This window comes from Homo sapiens, chromosome 18 (assembly GCF_000001405.40).
Source record: "Homo sapiens chromosome 18, GRCh38.p14 Primary Assembly".
Classification (NCBI taxonomy): Eukaryota; Metazoa; Chordata; class Mammalia; order Primates; family Hominidae; genus Homo; species Homo sapiens.
Genome location: NC_000018.10, coordinates 49,260,507 through 49,272,911, shown reverse-complemented (window position 1 = coordinate 49,272,911; position 12,405 = coordinate 49,260,507). Strand labels below are relative to the sequence as shown.

The 12,405-nt window shown below is 36.2% G+C and overlaps 1 protein-coding gene across 41 annotated transcripts in view; it reads left to right on the top strand.

Annotated features, from left to right (window-relative positions):
• Window positions 1-12,405, top strand: part of DYM (dymeclin) — a 424,259-nt gene that overhangs the window by 187,734 nt on the left and 224,120 nt on the right. For all 41 annotated transcript variants that reach the window (NM_001374439.1, XM_047437559.1, XM_047437553.1 and 38 more), the window contains one exon: window positions 609-734. In NM_001374439.1, the coding sequence (NP_001361368.1) occupies window positions 609-734 (126 nt within the window). The remainder of the gene's footprint in view (window positions 1-608; window positions 735-12,405) is intronic.

Sequence of the window (12,405 nt, the reverse complement as noted above, 5' to 3'; positions counted from 1 at the left end):
TTACTTTAGTGAAGAAGGAACAAATTGAAGGTGTCAATGATTTGAAATAAGCACAATGGTAAACAGCATTATGAAATGAAATGTTTGATAGATATACTGAAGAGCAGATCTTAATACACATGTTGAGAAAATGCACCTTGGGTTCCAAGAGTCTAATTACATATTTATTTAAAATATATTTCTTGAAATATATTTTTTACTTACTAGCTTTAAAAAGGTGGTGCTAAGCACATAAATTAAAAAGTTAACTTCTGAGCAGCTGTGCTCTCCCCGCTACTCCCACTTTTTGGTTAAGTTGGGAGAAGGCAATGTGACTTCTTAAAATCTTCAAAACAAACAACGAGCCTAAATGGTCCTTGCAGATCCAACCTTTATGTTGGTTAGACCTTAAGAGACCTTCACAGAGTTAGTGGTGATTTTCTCCACTGGCATCTTAGCTATACATTTGGAAAATACATTCAGTCAGAAGTGGGTTTATATGGTTTTTTCTCTAATGAAAAATATAACTGATATTAAAGCAAAGAGCACAAAATGAAAGTGTAAAGATTTAAAACATTTGGATTTATAATGAAGTATTGAAATAGTCAATTATAATTTTTATTCTCTAGGTTTTACCAATTCTTGAGATTCTGTATCATGTTGAAGAAAGGAATTCACACCATGTGTATATGGCCCTTATAATATTGTTGATCCTTACGGAAGATGATGGCTTCAACAGATCCATTCATGAAGTGGTAAGTTACCATTACTTGGATTAGAGTTAGAGTTAACAGAACAGACATGTCCCTACGTAAGATTTACTAGTCTTTACATTTCTTTCTGGTAGATGTTCCTGTGAGAACCTGTATTAGAAATGTTATGTCTTTCTTCAGATTTATGAAGCGGTGCTTTTTTTTTTTTTTTTTCCAGAATGACTATTAACCACTATTAAAAACTCTCTCAAAATGGTTCTTTGGTAATTGATACAAATGCTTTTGCTGCTACTGGGTTCATTTTTCTTCAGCATTTCATTTCCACTTTTTCATTGTGGCAGAAATTGTCAAACAGGTTTGCTTCATGCATACAGAATTAGAGAAGAAAAAGGGACCAAAATGGAAGAAGTTTGAGAAATCCATTGTTTTATATATATATTTTTAAAGAACATAACATAATTTAACTTTTTAAATTTTGGTCCTGTTGGAGAGTTTTATTCCCAAACTGGTCTTATGTTTCTCTTTGGCATTTTTTTATTTTATTTTTTGCATCAAAGTAATACACATATGTAGTTTTAAAACTTGTATAGAAGTACAAGGTTTTAATGAAAAATAACAGACCCATGTTCACCCTATTTCTGATTCCCACTCCTGTAAGGCAAATGCTTTCAGTTCTGTCCATGTTTCGAAGTAACATACTTATATTGTGATTTCTTGATTTTTCAGTTGCAGACATTAACTATTATCGCCCTAAGATGGAAGATAGTCATTGGTTCTTCCTGCATTCCACAAGTGTTCCCTCTGGGTTCCCAGCACGCTTGTCGGCACACAGACTTTTTCCTTTTTCCATCTTATTACCATTTTTGGTTAACTCAGCTTTTACATTATTATTTTTGATGTTATTTTTAGTTCAGCTGTGTACTGTAGGATAATTGCGTTTCCTTTCTTGAACATGTTTTACCATTTCTGTAGCACATCATTGCCCTGTTTTTTATTTGTGTACTAATACACTGATTCTACCCCCAATACTTCAACAGAACTGAAAATTTGCTCAAAATATATTCAAACTTACCGAATTTTCTTTTTGGACTCCTGTCTTTCCTGGAGCATCTGGTGGCCCTGGTTGATCTGTTCATCTGTAGGAGTAAGCACTAAGAAGTCGATTGGAAGTCCTGTGTGTGGGCAGGTCTTACTTACTGTACCTTGTTGTACATAGTCTCTTTCTCTGGGACTGTGTCCCTGCAGGCCATTTTTTGGGTGGATTGTTTTTGATTCTTCCAGTCTCCTTGCTAGGGGTTCTATAGGAGAAGGGGGCAGGGCTTTCACTCTTTATAAGGGTACAGACACTTTGTTTTCTCCTCATTTTCAGTAGGGCTTTTATATTATATTTACTCCTCTCTAATGTTCCCTTAAGTCATGTTTTTGCCTCTTACATAGTATGACCATAATTTCAACTAAGATTTAAGGAATCTTGACCATTGTGGAAGGAGTATAAAACATACAAATTTATTTTTTGTGTGTATATTTAAGTTATACAACTTGATGTTTTGATATATTAATACATGTACATAGAGAAATGGCTACTATAGTCAGGTAAATTAGCATATCCATCATCTCACATAGTTACCTCCTTTATTTTTTGTGGCAAGAGCAATGATACTCTCCTTTGGCAAAAATCCTGAATACAATACAGTATCATTAACTATAGTCCTCATATTATACATTAGATCTCTAGACTTCATGCCATATACCTGTAACTTTGACCTATATCTCCTCATTTTCTCACATCCACCCCCTGGTACCCATTGTAATATCCTCTATCTGTGTATTTGACTTTTTAAAAAGATAATCCACATATATGTGAGATCATGAAGTATTTTTCTTTCTCTGGTTTATTTCACTTAGAATAATCTCCTCTAGGTTTACCTATGTTGTGCCAAATGTCAGGGTCTTCTTTTTTAAGGCTGAATAATATTCCTTTGTTTATACAACCATGCACTACTTAACAATTGGGAAGCATTGTGAGAAATGTGTCCTTAGGCGATTTTATCATTCTGTGAACATCGTAGAGTGTGCTTACACAGCCAAGATAGTGTAGCCTACTACACGCCTAGGCTGTGAGGTATAGCCTGTTGCTGCTGGCCACAAACCAGTACAGCGTTGTTACTGTATACTGTAAGCAGTTGTAACACAATGGTAAGTATTTGTTTATCTAAACATAGAAAAGCTACCATAAAAATACAGTATAAAAGATTTTAAAAGGCACACCTGTATAGGGTACCATGAATGGAACTTGCAGGACTGGAAGTGGCACTGACTGAATCAATGAGTGAGTGGTGAGTAAATGTGAAGGACCAAGACATTACTGTATGCTATCGTAGACTTTATAAACACTAGACACTTAGGCTACACTAAATTTATAAAAATATTTTTCTTTAATAATCAATTACCCTTAGCTTACTGGAACTTTTTTACTTTATAAAGTCACCACAAACACATGAATAATGTGTTGTGCTACAATGGCTACAACATCTAGGTGATAGGAATTTTGTAATAATCATCTGGGACCTTCTTTGTATATGCTGTCTGGCATTGACCAAAACATTGTTATGTGGCAAATGACTGTATGTATTACATTTTCTTTATCCATTTGTCTGTCGACGGACTCTCTGGCTGTGTCTGTCTTGGCTATTCTGAATAGTGCTGCAGTGAATGTGGGAGTGCAGCTATCTTTATAGGTGGTGATTTCATTTTCCTTATGCCCAGAAGAGGAATTGTGAGATGATACACTAGTTCTATTTTTAATTTCTTTAAGAATCTATATACTGTTTCTCACCTTGGTGGCTCCAATCTACATTTCCACCAACAGTGTGTAAGGGTTCTGTTTCCTGCATCCCCTCCCGTACTTGTTATCTCTTGTCTTTTTCATAATGACTATCCACACTGGTGTGATGGTTTTGATTTGCATTTCCCTGATTAATTATCAGGGAAATTTTGAGCTCAAAATGTGATTTTGAGCACATTTTCATATACTTGTTGACCATATTTATGTCTCTTTTGGAGAAATGTCTATTCAGGTCCTTTGCCCATTTTTTAATGGGATTGTTTTTCTGTTATTGAGTTGTGTGAGTTCTTTATATATTTTAGATACTAGCCCTTTATCAGATATATGGTTTGAAAATATTTTATATCAATTCAGAGGCTGCTTTTTCATTTTGTTGATTATTTCCTTTGGTGTGTAGAAGCTTTTTAGTTTAATATAGCCCCATTAATTTATTTTTGCTTTTGTAGCTTGACCTTTTGATGTGAACATAGAAATTTCTTGGTTCTTGTTTTCAGTAAAATACTATGAGAAGTAATATTTTCACTGATGTAATCAACTTTTTAAACATGACTTTTCTTTTAATAAGGAATTAAAAACAAATATGATTTTTAAAAACATCTTAAAATTGAAGTATAACATGCATATAAAACACACAAATTTTAAAGGAAAACTAATGAAAATTACATTCTATATTTGTGTCATTACCACCCAGATAATTATTTGCTTCAGCAGCAGCAATAACAAAATAATCAGAACAAGAAAAAGTAACTGTAACCACACAAAAAACTTTGAAGCAAACATGACAAAATGTTAGTTTTTGGCATAATTCATATGTGGTTATACTTTTTATTGTGCTATTTTCTATACTTTTCTGTATCCTCATTCTATAATTAAAACACTTTCAAGTTAGCAGAGAATTTTGCATTAAAATTAAACTTCGCTGACTGCCAAAACAGGGTTGGTAAGATAGGGAAAGTTCAGTTCACATTGAGTTCAGTTCCATTGGATTTCAGGATATTTTAGATGACATTTCAAATTCAAATATTGAAACACTTGTTCTTTTTCTCTAGAATCTGACTTTCTTGTTGATCTCGATTTATTTTGGTCCCTTCCCTTTCCATATGTAATAGTAGAAAAGAGTAAATTCAAATGTTTTACCAAGTTTCTCTACATGGAATCATTAGTGTGAACCTAATTGCCTATGATATATATATTGTTATCTCATTTTGATTTGAATTTGCATTTCTTAATACCCAATGATACAGAGAATTTATTTTTAATGTGCTTTTTGTGTGCATATATATCTTTTTGCCATTTTTTAAATTATCTTTTTTATTTTGAAATAATTGTAGATTCACATGCAGTTTTAAGAAAAGTAAGAGAGACCTCATATACCCTTAATACAGTTTTCCCCAATGGCAACTGTAGTTGTAAAACTGTAGTTCAATATCACAGTCAAGATATTTGATACTTTTGTTTGTTTGTTTGTTTGTTTGTTTGAGACACAGTCTCGCTTTGTCTCCCAGGCCAGAGTGCAGTGGCAGGATCCAGCTCACTGCAACCTCCGCCTCGTGGGTTCAAGTGATTCTCATGCCTCAGCCTCCCGAGTAGCTGGGACTACAGGCACACGCCACCAGGCCTGGCTAATTTTTGTATTTTTTATTAGAGATAGGAATGTTTCACCATGTTGGCCAGGCTGGTCTTGAACTCCTGACCTCGAGTGATCCAGCCGCCTTGGCCTCCCAAAGTGCCAAGATTACAGGTGTGAGCCACCATGCACAGCCTGACATTGATACTTTTTAAGGTATAGAATATTTCTATCACCACAGAATTATATCGCTCATCTTGCTCTTGAATAGCCATACCCCCTTTTAAAAACTTGGCTTATCTTATTATTGAGATGTAAGAATTTTTTATTCTGGATCTTTTGCTTTTTTATATTCTAGTTTGTTAATGTGAATTATACTGGTTATTGAGAATTATAGTGATTATTTATTGAATATTAAATCAACTTTGCATCCTGGGGTAAAGTGCACTTGGACATGATATGTTTTTAAATGTATTTTCATATACAGTATGGTTGAGTTTTGAACTTTGTGTTTTCTGAGGAATTTGTACATTTCTTTTAAGGTAAAGAATCTATTACAATAAAATTGTTCATAATATACTCTTATTACCTCTTCTTTTTTTTTTTTAAAAAGTTACCTTTTAATGTCTGTACTAGCCATAGAGAGATTACCCTTCATTCTTCATGCTGATAATGTGTCTATTCTCTTCTTTATCTTTCTAACTTTTTAAAAAAGTTAAAACTTTAAAGAACTAGCTTTTGAGTCTATTGATTGTTTTTCCTCCATTTTTTGTTTTCTATTTTAATTATTTGTGCTCTTTATTATTTCTTTTCTCCTGCTTACTTGAGCCTCAATTTGCCTTTTTTTTCCCCAACGTTTCTTAAGGTAGAAGCTTAGACCTTTGATTTTACATCCTTCTGCTTTTCCACTGTAAGCAAAATATATGAAAATGGTTTTCAGACTTTGGACAATAGGCAGCACAGGAGAGTAATGCTAGAAAGAAAAAAATGTATTTAACAGTAATTATTTTTAAGAATTTGAAAATACATTAAAGTCAAACTTTATCACTACCACCTAAGATGTGAATACCTTGACGTAAGACAAATTATTCTACTGTTTTAGTGTAAATGATCATACTCATTCATTAACTAGAATTAGAACTATTAACATTAGGTGAACATCATTTTCAGAAAATTTTCTTCTTTTTATTTAAGTTGAGACAGGGTCTCACTCTTGCCACCCATGCTGGAGTGCAGTGGCACAATCGCTGCTCACTGTAGCCTTGACTTCCTGGTCTCAGGTGATCCTCCTACCTCAGCTTCCTGAGTAGCTGGGACTGCAGGTGCATGCCACCATGCCCAGCTAATTTTTGTTCTGTGGAGATGGGTTTCGCCATGTTGCCCAGGCTGGTCTCAAACTCCTGGTCTCAAATGATTTGCCTATCTCAGCCTCCCAAAGTGCTGTGATTACAGGTGTGAGCCACCATACCAGACCTTCATTATGCAATATATTTTTTAATATTATTATATGGTGAAGAAAAGAGATTTTGGAAAGCTAAGATGTTAGAATCATTGTTTAGTTATTTTAAATCCATGTTGCAGCTGTAGAGAGAACCAGTGTATTTCTTAGTGAGAAGCATGAGAACATTATTAATTCCACACTTCTTTTCATCTCTTTCTTCCAATTTTTTGTTAGTTTAATTATTTAATTTTGTAAAAATTTTTTTGAGACAGAGTCTCACTCTGTTTTACGCAATTCTCGTGCCTCAGCCTCCCAAGTAGCTGGGATTACAAGCAAGTACCACCACACCTGGCTAATTATTTTTTTTAGATTATTCAAAACTTATAACATTTCCATTCTGTTTTGTAACTCAAATTGCCAAAATTGCCTAATACTGGTTTCATTGGATGTGTTGTCTACCATCAGCCCTTTTACCATAGTTTAGTTTCTGTATCCCTGAGTTTGTTATTTTTATTCATCATCTTCTATATATCTGGCTTTTGTTTTCAGTATTTTCTTCACAGAATATTTCTTTTTTTTTTTTTTTTTGAGATGGAGTTTTGCTCCTGTTGCCCAGGCTGGAGTGCAATGGCGCAATCTCGGCTCACCACAACCTCTGCCTCCCAAGTTCAAGCGATTCTCCTGCCTCAGCCTCCCGAGTAGCTGGGATTACAGGCGCCCGCCACCACACCCGGCTAATTTTGTATTTTAAGTAGAGACAGGGTTTCTCCATGTTGGTCAGGCTAGTCTCGAACTCGCGACCTCAGGTGATTCACTGGCCTCAGCCTCCCAAAGTGCTGGGATTACAGGCGTGAGCCACTGTGCCTGGCCTTCTTCACAGAATATTTCTGTGGCATATTTTATTCACCTTCTCATATTTGAAACTGTCTGAAGGTTCTCATTTTCTCTCCCACACCTCCTTCCACTATTTAGTCAGAAGAAGAAACAAATAAATAAACCTACCAAACTTGTTTCTCTCTCTAGATTTGGGGATTTTCATCAGAATTTTCAGGATTTTGTCAATTTTTCCAAGGGGCTGCTGCCAGGTAAGGCAGGATTCAGTCACACATGTACTTCTTGAGCCTGCTCTCGGGTTTTCTCCTTTATCATCCATCATTGACCCCAGTACACCTATGACTGTGGGCTTGGGCTCATAGAAGCATTTTTTTTACCACATGTTACCATGGGACAGCCTGCGATTTATAGCACATATATTGTTTAGTGAGATTGTTTAAAGGACTGTATATACTTTGTCCACTCCCACATAGGCTTGAGACTAGTATATTTGGTATTACTAATTTGGTAAGCATTTAATGAGCATGAACCACCTCTCATACCTGTGGTAACGGTTAAATGAATTTTAAGACACAGTCACTTTTGTAGTATAGCTCCTAGTTTTAACTTGCCAGGTAAGTCATGTGCTTTTATTCTGTTCTCCAGATTATAGAGGTATGGTAGACTTTGAGGATATTAAGTTTGGGCTCTAGTCTATTTGTTCAATGTACTACTCTTCTAAGGCAAAACTTTAAAATTGTGATTTCACAATTTCTACCTATTACCATGTCTAGAGATGTGACACATTTATTCCTTTTGATATTTCTTTCTCTTTCCTAGCCCTCTTCTTGTCAGATGTAGATGTGCTTATACGTAACACAAAGTATTCGATAGAAAAATGGGCAAAGTAATAGAAAAACAGAATAGAGACCCGGAACAGTAATCATCGTTCAACCCGATGCTTCATCAGGATCATGCCAATTAAAGCAACTGAAATATTCTGTGCCTATCAGAGTAGCAAAAGTGACAAAATCTGATATATCAAGAGTTGGTGATGTTTTTATTACTATGGGGTTGATGAAAGAAAAAAGAATTGGTGAGGATATAGAGAAAAAGGACTCTCATATGCTGGTAGTGGGAGTATAAATTGGTAGAACCACTTTAGAGAGGAATTTGTCCTCTCAAATTCCTCAAATTGTATACAGAAATAAATACTCCACCTCTCAGAAGTTCCATTTCAGGGTTTACGTTTTAGGGAGAACTTCTTCAAATATGTTCTCATGAGAACATATTTGAAAGAATTTTCACTGTAGCATTGTTAGTTGTATTCAGAAATTGAATACAGCTCCATTAATGGGAGAGCAGATTACGTAAATGAAATATTGTAAAGCAGCTAGAATGAATGCGTAGAGCTACGTGTATTGATAATAAAACTCAAAAAAAAAAAAAAAACAACGCCCATCCAATTTCAGGATAGTGGCTGCCTCTGGGGAGGCAGGTTATCAGTGTAGAACAATGAGGAGGCTTCAGGTACTTTAGAAGCAAGAATACTAACATTTAATAAATCTAGGTGATGGATACAGTGGTGGTCTCTATACCAGGCTAATCAATCAAACTTTCTATCCTCATAGAAGTCTTCTATGACTGCACTGTAAGTATGCTCACACCTGAAATGTAGCTAGTATGGCTGAGGAATCTATTTTACTTTTATTAAATTTTAATTTAAATATCCACTTGTGGCTAGTGCCACTGTGTTGGACACTGCTGCTCTGTGCTTTTTAGTGTGTTAACACAGTTAATAGTAACTACTTTTTTTTTCTTTTTTGAGACAGAATCTCACTCTGTTGCCCACGCTGGAGTGCAGTGGCACGATCTTGGCTTGGTGCAACCTCCACCTCCCAGGTTCAAGCAATTCTCTGCCTCTGCCTCTGGAGTAGCTGGGATTACAAGTGCCTGCCACCAAGCCTGGTTAGTTTTTTTTATTTTTAGTAGAGACAGGGTTTCACCATCTTGGCCAGGCTGGTCTTGAACTCCTGACCTCGTGATCCACCCACCTCAGCCTCCCAAAGTGCTGGGATTACAGGCATGAGCCACCACGCCCAGCCTATACATTTATTTTTAAAAGAAGATATTCAAGCCAGGCGTGGTGGCTCACGCCTGTAATCCCAGCACTTTGGGAGGCTGAGGTGGGCAGATCACGTGAGGTCAGGAGTTTGAGACTAGCCTGGCGAACATGGGGAAACCCCATCTCTACTAAAAATACAAAAATTAGCCGAGTGTGCTGGTGGGTGCCTGTAATCCCAGCTACTCAGGAGGCCGAGGCAGGAGAATTACTTGAACCCAGGAGGCGGAGGTTGCAGTGAGCCGAGATCGTGCCATTGCACTCCAGCCTGGATGATAAGAGTGAGGCTCCAACTCAAAAAAAAAAAAGAAGATATTCAATGATTTGGCAATTCTGCTTCCTAGTAAATTCTCGCAGATGTACTTATGAAGTCATGTGCAGGTATTTTTGTTTTCAAAATCTGTGTGATTCCTGAACTGAGGTAAAAGTCTGGATAGTAAGAATATGGAGAGTCAGGAATTCTTTCTTTTTTTCTGACTTTCATGTAGTGAGATTTAGGATAGTGATCTGAATTGTAACATTGTTTTAAATAGGAAAACAACTGTAAATAGCCTAAATTTCCATTAATAGAGGAATGGATTTTTTTTAAAATGTAGCCTGCTAATATAGTACTCTAGAGTGGTTACAAGGAATGAAGTAGACTTGGATATAGAGGTGACATTCAAATGACTTAAGTAGTATGTATGGCACCAACACCAGCCAGTAAGAATGGATGTGGACCACAGTTCTTTGTTCTCTGCTGTATATTACCTGGGGGAGTGGCTTACAACAAAAGCTATTTACTAACTAGTATTGAGTATTCCATTTTAAAAAAAGAACTAGTACTATCAGACAGGCATACCTGGTGAATATTCTTCTTATATGTATCAATATAGGAGGGTTACAGAAACATGCTGAGTGAAAAAAGTAAGATGCGAACAAACCAGATGTGTGTTAGTTTCTTAGAGCTACTGTAACTGACCACCACAGTTACTGAGTACTGCTGATATAAATGAAAGATACTTAGTGTCTTCTAGAGTTGTCTGAGTACCACAGCTAGGTGACTCCTAACAATAGAAATTTATTGTCTTCTGTAGCCTGAAAGTCCAAAGTCAAGGTGTCAGCGGGGCCATGCTCTCTCTGAAGGCTCTAGGGGAAGACCCTTTCTTGTGTCATCCTAGCTTCTGGTGGTCGCAGGCAATACTTGGTGTCCCTTGGCTTGCCATCTATCTACATCACTCCAGTCTCTGCTACTGTCATCACATCCTTCTCTCAGGAGGTGTCTGTCTCTGTGTCTGTCTTCCTCATCTTACAGTCACCAGCAGTCATACTGACCTAGAGTCCACATTAATCTAATGCAGTCTCATCTTGATTATATTTCAAAGACCCTCTATCCATGTAAGGTCACATTCACAAGTTTTGAATGACATAGATTTGGGGGGAAACCATTCATTCTAATACATTATGTATGGTACTATTTATGTGTACTAGAAAACACACAAAGGAATGCTGGTTTTTGGTTTTTTACATATATATGTAGGTACATATATGTATATATGCAGATAAAGTAATTGAAATGGTCTAGAGTATACACACTAAACTCAAGATAGTGTTTGTTCCTCCATGGGGGAATAAAGTGAGATATATATATTAAAAAATATTAACAGTTGGTAATGTGAATTGTGGGCATATAGATGTCAATTGTTTTTTGTACTTTCCCAAACATATTTAATTTTTTTAAAAGAGTTGATATTATATAATGTTACTGTATAATACTCTATCATATATAACTTATGGAATTTATTTTTGAGAGAGTCTTCTCTGTCGTCCAGGCTGGAGTGCAGTCACTGCAACCTCTGCCTCCCTAGTTCAAGCGATTCTCCTGCCTCAGCCTCCCAAGTAGCTGGGATTACAGGTGCACGCCACCTCGCCTGGCTAATTTTTAGTAGAGACGGGGTTTCACCATGTTGGCCAGGCTGGTCTCAAACTCCTGACCTCAGGTGATCCATCCACCTTGGCCTCCCAAAGTGCTGGGATTACAGGCGTGAGCCTCCATGCCCAGCCAAACTTTTATATTTTTTACTTTTCAATTCTAAATAATATTTAACCACCATGTAGTGAGTATTTGTTATATGCCAGCCTCTGAGTGGAGAATGCAGTCAGGGTGGGCTTATTTGTAATGGGGGATGCTGGGTGATGTGGGGCCAGAGAGTTAAACGAGTGAAAATATGTGTACGGAAGCCACCTGTATATACTTGTACTTTCAAACATATTGACATGAAATTGAGTGTGGTATTCCTTTGTGTTTTTATTCTTTTAATCTGTTTCTGTACTCCCTTCTCATTCCTAATATTGTTTGGAATTTTTTTGCTGTTGTTAGACTTGCTAGAGAATGATCTATTTTAATCCTCTTTTAGTATATTATTTAGATTTAATTCTGTTTTCCTGATTTCATGGATGACTGTTGTGTTTGTTGTTGTTTGTATTCCATATTCTCCTTCTCTTGAATTCTTCTGGATTTGTCCTGCTGTTACTGTGTTGAGGAGGGGCAGCTAAATACTTACATGTGTTGTGGTGTTTTGTTTTTTTTTTTTCTCCCGGAGATGGTACATGGGTGGTTCATGCTGAGTTTATTTTGCATCATGCTTATGTGGTAGTTTCTCAAGATGCAGAATTCTAGAATCATAATGCCTTCCCTCAAAAATCTTGAGACATTGTTCTGCTGTCCTTCAGATGTGTAGTGTTCAAGATGGGAACTCTAACATTAGTCTGCTTCTTTTTCCGTTGGTGGTAACATGTTCTTCTGTCTGGAAGCCAATGGAACTTTCTCATATACTGCAAATTCATTAATCTTGCGAGAATGTTTTGATTGTTTTTCATGATTTTTTTCTTGGAATGTTGAATGTTTTTCTTTTCCTCTCAAAGAAATTTTCTCATATTACTAAT